The sequence below is a fragment of the Homo sapiens genome, chromosome 3 (genome assembly GCF_000001405.40).
Source record: "Homo sapiens chromosome 3, GRCh38.p14 Primary Assembly".
NCBI classification, from domain to species: Eukaryota; Metazoa; Chordata; class Mammalia; order Primates; family Hominidae; genus Homo; species Homo sapiens.
This window is the reverse complement of record NC_000003.12, coordinates 11,242,186-11,258,894: the sequence shown is the minus strand read 5'-3', so window position 1 is coordinate 11,258,894 and position 16,709 is coordinate 11,242,186. Positions and strand designations below refer to the sequence as shown.

The 16,709-nt window shown below is 44.7% G+C and overlaps 1 protein-coding gene across 4 annotated transcripts in view, besides 2 other annotated features; it reads right to left on the bottom strand.

Moving 5' to 3' along the window:
- Positions 1-16,709, bottom strand: part of HRH1 (histamine receptor H1) — a 126,320-nt gene that overhangs the window by 4,663 nt on the left and 104,948 nt on the right. Inside the window, exons 1-2 of one of the 4 annotated variants that reach the window (NM_000861.3) lie at positions 6,127-6,196; positions 5,677-5,762 (exon numbers count right to left, since the gene is read on the bottom strand). The exons of the other annotated variants lie outside the window; for them this stretch is intronic. The gene's annotated coding sequence lies outside the window, so the exon portion shown is untranslated. Of the gene's footprint in view, positions 1-5,676; positions 5,763-6,126; positions 6,197-16,709 lie in introns of those variants that run through there. 4 annotated transcript variants of the gene reach the window in all.
- Positions 386-729: a transcriptional cis regulatory region, noted in NCBI's record as "silencer region targeted for CRISPR/Cas9 deletion". NCBI's record gives its function as "negatively regulates HRH1 gene expression in K562 erythroleukemia cells {active_cell/tissue: K562}" and the evidence as "EXISTENCE:knockout evidence [ECO:0001091][PMID:32094911]".
- Positions 455-656: a silencer, noted in NCBI's record as "fragment chr3:11299925-11300126 (GRCh37/hg19 assembly coordinates)". NCBI's record gives its function as "represses an EF-1alpha promoter that drives an FKBP-Casp9 reporter gene in an ReSE screen, or a PGK promoter in conventional reporter assays, in K562 erythroleukemia cells {active_cell/tissue: K562}" and the evidence as "EXISTENCE:reporter gene assay evidence [ECO:0000049][PMID:32094911]".

Here is a 16,709-nt window from a genome sequence, read left to right as displayed (position 1 = left end):
ACTGCTGGTTACCTACTCAATAGCCATGTACCCTTTTCCTTATTCATGCATTCATTTGCTCACTTAACAACTATTTATTGAATTTCTGTCACTCTTCTAGGTGTTGAGAATATAGCTGTGAACAAAATAGACAAAAATGTTTGCCCCTATGGAATGTGCATTCTAGTGAGAGAGTTGGGCAGAAGCAAGACAAATGTGTTTGTAGAAATCTAATTCCGCACATGTTCTGGGAAGGTGGGCTGCATCCTCATGTGTCTAAGCAGAATATAGCAATCCAGTTCCTCTTTACAGTGGCAGATAGAGGAGTGACCATGAGATACCACCATGGCCAAGGAATAGGATGAGGATGTCAAACAGCAGAGGCGGAGTTTTTAGGAACGTTCTTCCTCTCTGACAAATGATCAAAACAACAAAAATTGTTGTTGCTCACTTGCCTCTTTCTCCCTGACAGGATGTGAGGAAGTGATGTTTGAGGCCATGAGAGTCATCTTGGGACCATCGGGAAGGCCAAGAAAATGCCAGCCTAGGGCCTTGCTGTCACTAAGCTGCTGAGCCAACTCTGGAATCTTCTTCTCCCAGACTTATTATTATGGGAAATAATTAAATGGGCTTTGTTTTGCTTGGCTTTGCTTTTTTTTTTTTTTTTTTTTTTGGCTTACATCACTGTTGTGGCAGTTCTTACTTGCAGCTGAGACCATCCCTAAATGATATGGAGGAGGTTATAAGGGGACACACCAGAGGCACATAAAGCATGAAATAAATCTAGCATATCTTTTTAGAGGAAAATTCTCAAGTGAGAAGGGGATTATGTTATTGGAAAAGCATATTCGTTATTTTACTTTTCTATTTGAAAAACAAACAATTTTTTTAAATTACATAAATCATGCCAAGTAATATGTAACAAGACCCTTGCTAGTAGGCTGGAAATGGTGGCTCACACCCATAATCCCAGCATTTTGGGAGTCTGAGGTGGGAGGATTGCTTGAGGGCAAGAGTTAAAGGTGGAATGATCACTTGAGGCCAAGACTTGCAGCCTGGGCAACACAGTGGAATCCTGTCTTTACAATGAAATTTTTTAAAAATTGTCCTATAATACACCTATAGTCCTAGCTACTCAGGAGGCTGCAGTCAGCTATGATCACATCACTGCACTCCAGCTTGGGTGACAGGGCAAGATCCTGTATCTGAAAAATAAAAATGAAAACCCTTTGCTACTAAGGCTCTACTGAAAACGGACTGTATCCTCTGTTATTGGTGATACTCAAGTCGGGTGGTTGGGTGAAAGTAAGTATTAAATCTTCTGGAAGGAGTTTTTAAGATTTTTTTTTTTTTTTTGAGATGGAGTCTCACTCTGTCACCCAGACTGGAGTGCAATGGCACCATCTTGGCTCACTACAATCTCCAGCTCCCAAATTCAAGTGATTCTCCTGCCTCAGCCTCCTGAGTAGCTGGGATTACAGGAGTGTGCCACCACACCCGGCTATTTTTTTTGTATTTTTTTAGTAGAGACGGGGTTTCACCATGTTGGTCAGGCTGGACTTGAACTCCTGACCTCAGGTGATCCACCCACGCTGGACTCCCAAAGTGCTGGGATTACAGGCATGAGGCACCACGCCCAGCCATTTTTTTTTTTTTTTTTTTTAGGACAGAGTCTCACTCTGTCGCCCAGGCTGGAGTGCAGTGGCACCATCTCAGCTCACTGCAACCTCTGCTTTCTGGGTTCAAGTGATTCTCATGCCTTAGCCTCCCGAGTAGCTACAATTACAGGCACCCACCACCACGCCCAGCTAATTTTTGTATTTTTAGTAGAGAAGGGGTTTCACCATGTTGGTCAGGCTGATCTTGAACTCCTGACCTCAGATGATCCGCCCACCTTGGCCTCCCAAAGTGCTGAGATTACAGGTGTGAGCCACTGCGCCCGGCCAAGTTTTTAGATTTTCATATTCATCAAAAAGTGGTGAGTTTAAAGAAAACTGATAAACACTAATAAATAGTAAATTTCTCTCAATAATTTAGCAAAAAGAAATTATTTTTACATTAAGACAAAGCCAGATAAGTTCTTGAGTAGAAGGCTAAATTTATTTATTTATTTATTTAGAGACGGAGTCTCGCTCTGTCGCCAGACTGGAGTGCAATGGCGCGATCTCGGTTCACTGCAACCTCTGCCTCCCAGGTTCAAGTAATTCTCCTGCCTCAGCCTCCTGAGTAGCTGGGATTACATGCGCCCACCACCACGCCCAGCTAATTTTTGTATTTTTAGTAGAGATGGGGTTTCACCATATCAGCCAGGATCCTTTTGATCTCCTGACCTCATGATCCACCCACCTCAGCCTCCCAAAGTGCTGGGATTATAGGTGTGAGCCACCGTGCCTGGCCTGTAGAAGGCTAAATTTATATAACTTTTTAAGATAAAAATCAAAACCCCAAGGTGTTTGATCCTTGTGGAAGGAACCTTTTAAATGTCTTTGTTGGAAAAACACCATTTTGGGCAGCACTGATTTTGCCCAAGCTCTACCATTTATTTTCTCAGTGATCTCTTGGCCTCCATCTTCTCATGTGTCAAATGGGTAGGGTGGGATAGACAATCTCTAAAGACTTTTCCAGGTCTCTTTCTTACAGCGGTATTTTTTGATGTCCTCCAGCTCTGAGGTGCCAATCAGAGCAATCCTCTGATTGCTGATGGGGCCTCCTCTGACTTCTTCAAAAGCATCACTGTCTCCTTGGGTGACCCAAAGTCCTGCCCTATGCTCCTGTCACTCTGTGCTGTCGGCCTCGGGGATCTCATCCTCTCACTTACCTACCCCTCAGCCATCACCTCCTATGAGGACAACACTCAAACCCACAGCTCCAGCCTGTATTTTTCTCCATTCCCACATCTAATACCTTGCAGCTTCACCTTCTGCCCTGATCAAGTCCAAACCCTGTGGAATTGTCCACAGTCACTTCTGGAAGGAAGAAAGTAGGCTGTGAAAGGAAAATAACTTGGGGCCCCAAAATCACTTAAGGTAAAGGGAAAAGTCAAGTTGGGAACTGCTTAGGGCAAACCCGCCTCCCATTCTGTTCGAAGTCAGACCTCTGCTCACTGAGATAAATGCATATCTGATTGCCTCTTTTGGAGAGGCTAATCAGAAACTCAAAAGAATGCAACCATCTGTCTCTTATCTTCCTAAGACCTGGAAGCCTCCTCCCGGCTTCCAGTTGTCCTGCCTTTCCCAGACCTAAGGAATGTTCATCTTGCATATATTGATTGATGTCTCATGTCTCCCTAGAATGTATAAAACCAAACTGTGCTCTGACCACTTTGGGCACATCGTCAGGACCTCCTGTTGCTGTGTCATGGGTGTGCGTCCTCAACCTTGGCAAAATAAACTTTCCAAATTAACTGAGACCTATCTCAGATTTTCGGGGTTCATAAGGCTAAGGAAGTATTGTCTCAGGGATTTTTATTTTTTACTGTTTTGCTCGGAAGGAAGCAGGAAGTAGTTCCCCTAAACACTTCCCCAGCTTGGCATTCTCAAGGTGGCTCTCAGCTCCCTGGCCTCCAGAGGTGTCTCCTTTTTCTCTTTTCCTCATTGTCTGGCACATAGAGGGGAGAGAAACCATTTTTTATTTTACGTTATTTTTTATTTTTTAATTTTAATTTTAATTTGAGACGGAGTTTCACTCTCATTGCCCAAGCTGGAGTGCAATGGCGTGATCTCAGCTCACTGCAGCCTCCTGTCAGAGATGATAAATTCCTCTTCAAAAAGGTTTAGTTCTCTGTTCTTTGTTTCTTAAGACCAACTTCCTTGTACATCCTTGTCTCCTAGCTACCTGTTCTGTAAACAGCCTTCCTGCCTTCGCCAGGCCCAGACAAGTCCAGATATGCCTTCCCACCTAGTAACGGATAGTTCCTCTTCCTTCCCACCTAATAGACCCTATTCAATTTTAAATCTTAGCCAATCGAATTAGCTTAGATTGTGAAGTCCAACCCCAGCCAATGCGGAAAGGACACAGAAGTGCTAGGAACTGCATTAGGGATTAAAAACCCCTGCCCTACCCTGCTTGGTGTGCTCTTGCGATTGTGACTAGCACAAGCTGCACCCTTCTGCAGAAGTAAATTTGCCTTGCTGAGGAATTTTCTGCCTATGTGCTGTTTTTCTTTGTGGCACCAGGCACTTGTTTCTAACAAACTTGGGGGTTCATCTGGGATTCCCATTCTCCTCCGGGGAGGGTCTCAGATCATTTCTCGTGAGGAGACGCAGCCCGCTGCTTTGTTGCGGTGGCCTCAAGGGTAAGGGATCGAGACCCACCTGGTGTGATGAATAAACCTGGACTCTAGCAATGAGGGAAGAAAAGGCAGACAGATACTGTGGCGACCAGGTAACTCTGTGCATAGACCAAGGTAAGAAAAACCTTGGGGGCAGTGAAGTATTTCCTTGGTGGTCAGGACATCCTGGAGGTTGAAAGTGTGTGAGTAAGACACACAATTGAGTGCAGAGCAAGTGCAGAGTCCGGATCTGGTTCTGTAGTCACCTCATATGGCTTAAAGGCAGCTTGCCTGTTGTGGGGTTTATACCAACCTGCCTATGCTAAGAGGGACTTGAAAATTTCCGCAAGAGAAGCATATGGAGAAGGATAAAGCAAAAGCTGAAGAGTGTGAAAAATCTCTAGTAGGAGAGGTTGAGCCCCACAGACTCACTAGGGTGCAAGAAATCTCTAGTAAGAGAGATTGAGCCCCATGGACTCAGGGAAAAACTCTTTCTCCAGGATGGGAAATACAGCAAGTAAGACAAAAGATAGGAAATATCATGATCATGATAATATACCCTCTGATAGTCCCCTAGGCCTAACGTTAGAATATTGGAAGGATAATGGAAGGACCAAACACAAGAAAAAGCAGCAAATGATAAAAAACTGCTGTTTTGTTTGGACTGAAGAACCTTCCTCTCCCCCAAGCAGCTGCCACCACAGACCCTTCCCCTAAACCTAAAAAAGGAGCTTAAACCACTCTTAGATGACCCTTATGGAGTGGCAGATCAGATCGATCAGTTTTAGGACCCCAGATATATACTTTAGACGAGTTAATGTCTATCTTAGACATCTTATTCTCAGGAGAAGAAAGGAGCATGATACAAAGGGCTGCTATGACCATTCGGGAACGTGAACATCCTCCCGGTCAGAACGTTCCAGCGGCTGAACATAATTCCCAGCCCAGGATCCTCAATGAGATAACAACAATATAGCCCATCAAGGAAATATGAGAGACCTTAGGGAGATGGTAATAAAAGGAATTTGAGAATTAGTGCCCCGCACCCAAAATCTTACCAAGGCCTTTAATATAAAACAGGGAAAAGATGAGGGACCGACAGAATTTTTAGAAAGGCTTAAAGAGCAAATGAGAAAAATACGCTGGCCTAGAATCAGAAGACCCCCTCGGACAAGGAATGTTAAAGCTCCACTTTGTCACCAATAGCTGGCGAGATATTACTAAGAAATCACAGAACAAATGTTTCAAATGTGGAAAAATAGGTCATTTTGAAAGACAATGTCCCAAATGGGAAAAAGAAGAAAAAGTCATCCCACTTACAGCTTTTGAAGAAGACTAGGGAGGTCAGGGGCTCCATCTTTGTCTCTTGAGTCCCACCAACAGCCCTTGGTAAATTTAGAAGTGGGACCTAAACCTAAGCTTATTACCTTTTTAATCGAGTCAGAAGCAGCTCACTCCTCAGTCTGTTATCTTCCATCTAGTGTAACTTGTTCACAAGAAAAACTTTTTATCTCTGGAGTAAAAGGAGAAGGATTTAGAGCAAAAATCTTAGAGGAGACAAAAGTGAAATATGAAAACTGATCAGCTAGCAGCAAATTTCTGTTAATTCCAGAAGCAGGGACAAATCTATTAGGAAGTGATTTAATACTAAAATTAGGCTTAGGCCTCCAAATCAATCACGGAAAATTCCTCCCCTCCCCTCCCTAATCTTGCTCACCACCGCAGACGAAGAACACATTTATCCCGAGGTATGGTCAAAAGATGGGATCAAGGAAAGTTACAGATTTCTCTGATTCATGTTAAATTTAAAACCCCTGGGGAAGTAGTAAAGAGAAAGCAATACCCTATTCCTTTAGAAGCCAGGGTAAATTTAAAACCTGTAATTGAAGGTCTTCTCCATGATGGGCTTCTTAAATCCTGTATGTCTCCCTGTAACACTCCAATACTGCCTTTAAAGAAGCCAGACAGGTCATACTGGTTAGTGCAAGACCTTAGAGCTATTAATCAGATAGTACAGTAATAGATTTAAATGATGCCTTCTGGGCTTGTCCATTAGCAGAGGGCAGCCAGGACCTACTTGCCTTTGAGTGGAAAGACCCTCACTCCGGTTGAAAACAGCAATACTGATGGACAGTCTTACCCCGGGGGTTTACGGAGTCTCCATATTTACTTAGTCAAATATTAGAACAAGTCCTAGAGAAATTTTCCCTGCCCTCGTGCATATGTCCCCTCCAGTACATGGATGATCTTCTAATTTCAGGAGATGATAGAAAAGAAGTAGCAGCTTTCTCAACCCATGTCTTAAATTTTCTGTGGGATGAAGGGTTAACGGCCTCGAAAAACAAACTCCAATTTGTAGAACCTGAAGTAAAATATTTAGGGCATTTAATTACAAAGGCAAATGGAAAATTGGGCTTGAATGGATTGAAGGAGGATTAGTCAGATACTGCCGTCTATGGATAGACTCTTATGCCCTAGAAACAGAACTCTCATACAAAAAGCTCACACAAGACGAGCCAGACCCCATCATTTGGCAATTACCAGAAATCCAAAAGGTAGAAAGGTTAAAACATCTATTAGTAACTGCCCCTGTCCTAGCTTTACCCTCCCTAAGCAGCCATTCCATCTTTTCGTCAATGTAAACAAGGGCGTAGCCTTGGGAGTACTTACCCAAAAGCACGGAGGCCACTCCCAACCCGTAGGCTTCCTGTCAAAAATTCTTAACCCAGTAACCCATGGATGGTCCAAATGCATTCAATCTGTAGCGGCAACTACTTTGCTAACAGAAGAAAGTAGAAAAATAACTTTTGGAGGAAACCCCATTGTGAGCACACCTCACCAGAACAGAACTATCCTAAATCAGAAGGCAGAAAGGTTGCTTACTGACTCAAGAATTTTAAAATACAAGGCTATCTTGTTAGAAAAAGATGATTTAATCCGAACTACAGATGATTCACTTAACCCTGCTGCCTTCTTAACAGGAAATTCAAACGCAGAAAAAAACCCATGCCCCAGACCAGAAGAACTTGGGCATAGATGTTTAGATAAACTCCCTTTCAAACCGGAAGACACCTTTTTGTAGATGGTTCTTCTCAAGTAATAAAAGGGAAAAGGCATAACAGGTACTCAGCAGTAGACGGAGACACCCTACCTAATGACTGGTCTGAGCAAACATGTGAGTTGTTTACACTAAATCAAGCCTTAAAATTTCTGCAAAACCAGGAAGGAACTATTTATACTGACTCCACGTATGCCTTTGGAGTAGTCCACACCTTTGGGAAAATTTGGGCAGAGCGAGGCCTTATTAACAGTAAAGGCCAAAACTTAGTCCATAGAGACTTGATAATCCAAGTACTAGAGAACTTACAGCCGCCAGAAGAGACAGCAGTTGTTCATGTTCCAGGTCACTAGAAGAATCTTTCCTTTGAGAGCTGAGGGAATAATCTAGCTGACCAAGTGGCTAAACATGTTGCCTCTTCTCAAGCAGCACCCATTTTCCACCTAACCCCTTATCTTCCCCCTCCAGCTACAGTCCCTGTTTTCTCCCCCAGAGAAAAAGAAAAGTTAAAAGAAATAGGAGCCAAAGAAAGTCACGAGGGAAGATGGGTACAACCAGACAAGAAGGAAATGCTGTCTAAGCCCTTCATGCGAGAGGTATTGTCACAGCTACATCAAGGAACTCACTGGGGCCCCCAAGCTATGTGTGATGCAGTCCTCAGAGTTTATGGATGCGTAGGAATTTATACCCTTGCTAGACAAGTTGCAGATCGTTTCAGAGTGCGCAGAAAAACCAACAAACAACCTAAAGAAAATGGGAGTACCACATGCCGTGCATCCACCCTCATCAGGGAGAGTCGAAAGGCCTATTGCCCTGTTGAGAGTCCGAACTGCTCCCTGAAAAAACATAGGTCTACCCCCTTATGAGATGCTTTTTAGATTGCCTTATCTACATTCTACTACTGATCTTCCCACATTCGAAACAAAAGATCAGTTTCTTAGAAACTATGTGTTAGGTCTATCTTCTACCCTTTCCTCCCTCAGGACTCAAGGCCTCCTAGCACAAACTCCACCCATTGAATTACCAGTTCATCAACACCAGCCTGGAGATCACATCCTTATCAGAAGTTGGAAAGAGGGAAAGCTCGAACCCACTTGGGAAGGACCATACCTAGTGCTCCTCACAACTGAGACAGCAGTCCGGACCGTTGAGAGAGGATGGACGCATCATACCCGGGTACCCCTCTCCAAAGTACCTACCCCCGAAAATGTAACGTTAAAGAGAAAAGCGGCCGGGCGCGGTGGCTCACGCCTGTAATCCCAGCACTTTGGGAGGCCGAGACGGACGGATCACGAGGTCAGGAGATCGTGACCATCCTGGCTAATATGGTGAAACCCCGTCTCCACTAAAAATACAAAAAAAAAAAAAAAAAAAAAAAATTAGCCGGGTGTGGTGGCGGCGCCTATAGTCCCAGCTACTCGGGAGGCTGAGGCAGGAGAATGGCGTGAACGCGGGAGTCGGAGCCTGCAGTGAGCGGAGATCGCGCCACTGCACTCCAGCCTGGGCGGCAGAGCGAGACTCCGTCTCAAAAAAAAAAAAAAAAAAAAAAAAAAGAGAAAAGCTTAATCTGCCTCTTCCTCCTTTTCCTCTTTACCCCAGCTACCCCACATCTTATTATTAATGTTACTAAGTCTAACTCACCTCAAACTATCACTTTCTATGCTTGTCTTGTTATACCCTGTGGAGATCTGCAGGGTCAAAGACAACTCTACTTCAGAAAAGTATCTTTGTCCTTCCTGGCTCTCCTCAGACTGGAAATCTGTTAACCGGGATCAATTAGTCTGGGAAGATTTTAACGGAGATTCCGTTAATTGGGAAACTTGTCCTCCTAAAGCAGAGCCTCAGCATCTCTGCCACAGTTGGTCCAATGTTCTATTGACAACCAAAAACCAGGGATGGACTGCCACAACGAATAGTTGTATATTCCTGAAACCATACATTTGTTTCACTAAAGGGAGTACTCCTCCCAATTGCCAATATAACCAGTGTAATCCTGTACAAATTTCCATTACTATCCCAGCTTCCCAAGGTTCTTACCCTTCCTTGAGCCATTTTTATGGTAGGAGCAGAAGTCTCAGGGACAGACCCTATAGGATATTTCACAATGTGCTTCATTGCTCCTCCACCTCCTTCACCCCCTTCTCCCTCTCCTCCTAAATCCTCTTTTTTTTTTTTTTTTTTTTTTGAGACAGAGTCTCACTTTGTCACCCAGGCTGGAGTGCAGTGGCGCGATCTCGGCTCACTGCAAGCTCTGCCTCCCGAGTTCACGCCATTCTCCTGCTTCAGCCTCCCGAGTAGCTGGGACTACAGGCACCTGCCACCATGCCCAGCTAATTTTTTTTATTTTTTATTTTTAGTAGAGACGGGGTTTCACTGTGTTATCCAGGATGGTCTGGATCTCCTGACCTCGTGATCCACCTGCCTTGGCCTCCCAAAGTGCTGGGATTACAGGCATGAGCCACCGCGCCCAGCCCTAAACCCTCTTCTAACCAAACCTTTTCTCACTTCATACCCAATGATAAAACTAAAGTTACCATTATAGAAGTTAAAGATTTAAAGCAAACTCTAGCTATTGAAACAGGATATCAAGATCCAAATGCCTGGTTGGAAGGGATTAAATATTCCATCCGCAAGCTAAATAAAAGCGACTGTTAGGCTTGTGCGACAGGTAGGCCAGAAACCCAAATTGTCCCCTTCCCACTTGGATGGTCATCTGACCAACGAGGCATGAGCTGTGTGATAGCTCTCTTCCAGAACCCCACAGCCTGGTGTAATGAGTCATGCAAGATTCTTCCACTGCTGTTCCCTGAAGTCAAAAGCCCTGCGGGTCAGCCCTTGAGGGCCATCCAGCCTGCAGCCCCTGATGTTAACTTCACCTCTTGCCTTTCATGGCAGGGGGAGAAGTTAGCATTCCTTGGAGACCTAACAGGGTGCAGTGAAACCAAGCCTTTTCAAGAGCTTACCAATCAGTATGCCCTTGTTCATTCCGGAGCAGATGTGTGGTGATATTGTGGGGGACTATCGCTGGGTACTCTGCCAAGTACCTGGAGCAGCACTTGTGCTGTAATTCAGTTGGCTATCCCTCTCACCTTGGCATTTCATCGACCAAGAAAGCTGAAGACAGAATATTGTAAAAAGAGACACGTCCCTCCTGGATCCTTTGATCCTCATGTTTATATAGATGCTATCGGAGTACCATGAGGGGTACCAGATGAATTCAAAGCCCAAAATCAAACAGCTGCAGGCTTCAAATTTATATTGTTCTGGTGGTCAACTGTAAACAAGAATGTAGCTTGAATAAATTATATCTATTATAATCAACAACACTTTGTTAATTTTACTAGAGATGCAATTAAAGGAACAGTTGAACAATTAGGCCTTACCAGCCAAATAGCCTGGGAAAAACAGAATAGCCCTTGACGTGATATTAGCTGAAAAAGGCGGAGTTTGTGTCACGATTGGAGTCCAATGTTGTACTTTTATTCCTAATAACACCGCCCCCGATGGAACAATAACAAAAGCCTTACAAGGCCTTACCTCCTTATCAAATAAATGAGTTAGCTAAAAATTCTAGAATAGATGACCCCTTTACAACCCTCATGGAGAAATGGTTCGGGAAATGGAAAGGAATTATGACCTCAATATTCACCTCCCTTATAATCGTTATAGGTGTGCTCATTCTTGTAGGATGCTGTATCATACCCTGTATTTGCGGTTTAGTGCAAAGACTTATAGAAACAGCGCTCACCAAAACCTCCCTTAGTTCCCCCCCACCTTATTCAGATAAACTCTTCCTTCTTGACACCCAAGAACAACAACAGAGCCTAGATATGCTAAGGCATTTTGAAGAGGAAAAACTATAAAATCAAGAGGGGGAAATTGTCAGAGATGATAAATTCTTCTTCGAAAAGCTTTAGTTCCCTGTTCTTTGTTTCTTAGACCAACTTCCTTATACTTCCTTGTCTCCTAGCTACCTGTTCGGTAAACAACCTTCCCGCCTTTGCCACGTCCAGACAAATCCAGATATGCCTTCCCACCTAGTAAGGGACAGTCCCTCTTCCTTCCCGCCTAATAGACCCTATTCAATTTTAAACCTTAGCCAATCGAATTAGCTTAGATTGGGAGGGCCAACCTTAGCCAATGAGGAAAGGACACAGAAGTGCTAGGAACTGCATTAGGGATAAAAACCCCTGCCCTACCCTGCTCAGTGTGCTCTTGCGATCGTGACTGGTGCAAGCTGCATCCTCCTGCAGAAGGAAATTTGCCTTGCTGAGGAATTTTCTGCCTACGTGCTGTTTTTCTTTGCGGCACCAGGCACTTGTTTCTAACACTCTGTCTCCTGGGTTCAAGCAATTCTCCTGCCTCGGCCTCCCAAGTAGCTGGGATTACAGGCATGCACCACCACACCTGGCCAATTTTGTATTTTTAGTAGAGATGGTGTTTCACCATATTGGTTAGGCTGGTCTCGAACTCCTGACCTCAGTGATCCACCTGCCTCAGCCTCCCAAAGTACTAGGATTATAGGCATGAGCCACTGTGCCCATCAGAGAAAACATTTTTTAAAAATTATGTATATACTATTTATCATCTAACAATTATATTTGACAGAAAATGATTCAAGCAATCCTCCCACCTCAGCCTCCTGAGTAGCTGGGAGGGACCACAGGCACGCACCACCATGCCTGGGTAATTTTTTGTATTTTCTGTAGAGAGAGGGTCTCACTGTATTGCCCAGACTGGTCTCAAACTCCTGGGCTCAAGCCATCTGCCCTCCTAAGCCTCCCAAAGTGCTGGGATTACAGGTGGGTGAGTCACCGTGCCCAGCCATGATTTGTTTTTATTTAAAAAAATCTGTATTTTTCCTTTTTGTTTAAAGAAAGAAAAGTTATGATTGAATTGTCATCACTGAACTAAAAATTACTGTAGCATTTTAAACATTTAGGGGTGAAATCTAACAATGTCTGCAATGTACTGTGAAATGAATAAAAAAATAGCTTGAATGGATAGTTCTCGTCAGTGAGATGACTAATGTAAGGTGCTTTTCCCTCCCTTCGGGACCTGTATTTTGAAAAATCTGGTCCCTGAGGTTTTCCTTGCATAAATTCCAAAGAAAAGTCAGATACTATGGCCAAGAGTGTGGGAGATATTTGGGGACATGGATCCCATGTCACTACACGCCACTCAGGAGATCCCGCTGGGTCTGAGGTGCCCTCTCTGAGGATAAAGCCATGCCTATGGAAACAGTGCTGGACAGAGGGTGTGCTCTGGGCAGAGAGAATAAAAGCTAAAGGAGCCATGTGAGATGAGGGCTTGTCTGCAAGGAAGGCAGTCACCTGTAGGTTCTCCCTAGCTCTGTGTCCTCAGAGTAGCAGCCTAGGGAGAGCTCTAGAGGCAGGAGCTGAGTCCTCACCCTTGCTCCGCTGCTTGCTGGGCTGTATGAGTGTGTGTGAATGTGTGAGTGAATGTGTATGTGCATGTGTGTTTGTGTGTGTGAGTGTGAATGTGTGTGATTGTGTGTGAGAGTCTGTGTGTATGTGTGTGAATGTGTGAGTGTGTGTATGAGTGTGAGTGTATGTGTGTATGTGTAAGTGTGTGTGTGGTTTTTGAGTACATGAGTGTGTGTGTATGAGTATGTATGAGTGAGTGTGAGTGTGTATGTGTGAGTGTCTAAGAGTGTGTGTGTGAGAGCATGTGCACCTTGAGTAAACAGTTCGGGGTGCCAGTTTACTCACCTTTAAAGTAGGGAGACTAGTAAGCCCTCCTGCCTGGGCCATTGGGAGGATCAATTGAGACAGGGAAGTGGGAAAGCTCTGCGATTACTTGGTAAAAAGCAGAAATGGACCCATCTTCTCTAAGAGTGCACAAGCAAACCATCATTTTTGAATTAAGGCAATGACTCCATTCTGAAACCATTAGGTGGGGAGGGGCTTTTACTAGAGTGATTACAGTCTAATCCCATCAGGCCCATGTGCCAGCAAACAACCCAGTCAGCGCTCCTTGCACATCCTGCGACACCAATGGGGGCAGCTGAAACAGTAAGGAGCCAAGCTTCTCACACATCAGTTACTAAATGCCCGCAAGCCCAAGAGGCATATCTGGGCGGAGAGGAGGAAATGGTCAGCTCAAGCTCAGGAGGTGAAGCATCTTACTCAAGGTCACGCAGCTGGGAAGTGGTTGCTAAGTTAAGATTTGAACGTAGGTCTATCTAACTCAGGGTTTCTCTATTTTTTTTTTTTAGATGAAGTCTCGTTCAGTCACCTAGGCTGGAGTGCAGTGGCATGATCTCAGCTCCCTGCAACCTCTGCCTCCCGGGTTCAAGTGATTCCCCTGCCTCGGCCTCCTGAGTGCCTGGGACTACAGGTGTGCAGCACCATACCCGGCTAATTTTTGTATTTTTAGTAGAGACGGGGTTTTGCTATGTTGGCCAGGGTGGTCTGAAACTCCAGGCCTCAAGTGATCTGCCTGCCTCGGTCTCCCAAAGTGCTGGGATTACAGGCATTAGCCACCACACCTGGCCCTAACTCAGGGTTTCTTAACCTTGGTCCTACCATTGACATTTGGGCTGCATGACTCTTCATTGTGGGGAGCTGTCGTGTGTACTGGGTGATGACATTTACCATTATCCCTAGCCTCCACTCACTTGATGCCAGTAGCTGCAAGCCCCCAGTCATGACAACCCAAAATGTTACCAGACACTGCCAGGTATCCCCTGGGGGATAGAACCACTGATCCAACTGAAGAACATGCACCCTGAACTACTACACTCCATTCCCACCCAAGAGTGCAGCTTTCAGCTCGAAGTAAGGCAGAACTTTCTAAAAAAGATGTTATCCAACAATGCAACAAGTTACCTTGAGAAAGACAGTAAGCTCCCCAACATGGGAAGCATGAAAGAAGAGGCAACCTGGATCTGATTCCAAATTAGAAATACTCCAAACTTCCTCAAGGGCAATGCAATTATTTACCTAAATAAAGCTCAGCAACGTTGGTTTTAGATAAAGCACCTAGTACAGTGTCTGGCATACATGAGGTGCTCAATTAATAGCAGTGGTTGTGTTTTCTTCCATTTCTTGGTGAGCACCACCATCCTGTACCTGGCCCATTCAGGATCAGAGGACTCATCCTTGACCTTTCCTTGTTTTTCACTGTGGTGGAAGCTGCTAATAGTCTCCTCTCATGTCTAAGACTAGAACTCTGCTTCTCAGCTGAGTATACAGCTGCCTGGAATAGAAACTACATTTCCCAGACTCCTTTGTAGCTGGGTGTGACCATGTGACTAAATTCCAATGGAATGTAAATGCAAGTGTTGTTTGCAACTTCCAGAAAACAGCCTTAAAATAAAGGTGTGTACTTTTCTTTGGCCTTTCATTCTTCTAGCTGGCTGGATTGTGGATATGATGAGTAGTGCTTAAGCAGCCATCTTGGGACCATAAGGAAAAGCCACACAATTAGGAAAGTGAAGCAGCCATCGGGACAGACTTGAGGTCCCTGATGATCATGGGGCTGCCATATCAGCGAGGACTGCCCACCTCTGGACCTCACGTCTATTTCATGGAAGCCATTGTTAGCTAGTGTTTTCTATCACATACAGCCAACTCGAATCCTAATTGATACACTGTCCCTGACTTCAAAGAGTTGATAAATTAGCATGCGAAGAAATACACAAGATAAACAGCATCAAAACAATTAAATTAAAAACCCTAGAATTCAGCTGGGACAAACGTGGTGACTGGTATAAGATCAAGGCAGGTAGCTGGACAGCAGAGGGAAGAACTGCCTCTCTCAAGGCAAAATGCGGACGTCAGAAAGGACATCAGAGAAGAAGTGATATGCAAGCCAGGCTTTGAAGGATGGGTGGAATTTCTCCAGCAGGAAGAAAGAGGTATTTAAGGCTCAGTAGAAGAAAGACTCAAAGTACACAGCTGAGTTTGAGGAATTGGGAGGAGTCATTGGAAGTGCCTAGAGCACAGAACGATGAGTCTGGAAGCACACGCTGGGGCCAAGGTGTAAGTAAGCTTCTTTACACGTTGATGCCATTTCCCTGCCTGGAACATTCTTTTGCCTTGAAACTCTTACTTGTTCCTTTCTCTTGGTATCCTCAACTTCTAACATGCTCCTCTTTTATCAACTTTCTTGTGGGATTATCATTCTTTAGCTGATTCTCCTCCAACTAAATGGGGAGCAACTCCAGGGCATGGAGGATGTCCACTATTTCTGTCTCTGAAGTGCAACACCATGGGGACATCCCATTCGCTGACAGCAGGGACCCTGCATTTTCGCTTGCCATCATTTCTCCTGAGCCTGGCACCAGGCTGGCACATGATAGGTGCTCAACAGAGGTTTACTGGATGAGCCCTGAAAAAACAAGACCCAGGGTCGGGCGCAGGGGCTCACACCTGTAATCCCAGCACTTTGGGAGGCCAAAGCAGGTGGATTGCCTGAGGTCAGCAGTTTGAGACCAGCCTGGCCAGCATTGCGAAACCCCGTCTCCACTAAAAATACAAAAATTAGCCAGGCGTGGTGGCAGGCACCTGTAGTCCCAGCTACTGGGGAGGGTGAGGCAGGAGAATCACTTGAACCCAGGAGGCAGAGGTTGCAGTGAGCCAAGATCATGCCACTGCACTCCAGCCTGGTGACAGAGCAAGACTCCATCTAAAAAAAGGAAAAAAAAAAGAGAGACCCAAACCAATACAGAACAGCAGAAGCCAGGGGAGATGTACTAAGTGCAGAAAGTGTAAGCATAATTTTCAAAAGAAGTTCAGACTTAAAGAAGTTTGAGGTAGGATTTATCCCATTGACGAATATTGTACCATACCTTTTGGTCCACTTTTCTACTTTTCCCTGAACACTTTATAGTTAAAAATTTATCTCATGGTAATCTAAAATGTAAATAAAGATTTATGCACAAAGACGCTCACTGCAACATTATTTATGATAGAAAATAAAGAGAAATGAGCTGGCATTTGGGAACTAAATGTATCTTGAGGTAGTGTGTCCGGAGTTGGTTCCTTCCGGCAGGTTCCTGGTGTCGCTGACTTCAAGAATGGCGACGCAGACCTTTGCAGTGAGTGTTACAGCTTTTTTTTTTTTTTTTTTTTTTTTTTTTTGAGACGGAGTCTGGCTCTGTTGCCCAGGCTGGAGTGCAGTGGCATGATCTTGGCTACTGCAAGCTCTGCCTTCCAGGTTCACACCATTCTCCTGACACAGCCTCCCCGAATATCTGGGAGTACAGGCACCCGCCACCATGGCCGGCTAATTTTTTGAATTTTTAGTAGAGACGGGGTTTCACCATGTTAGCCAGGATGGTCTTGATCTCCTGACCTCCTGATCCGCCTGCCTTGGCCTCCCAAAGTGCTGGGATTACAGGCATGAGCCACCGCACCCGGCCAAGTGTTAGAGCTC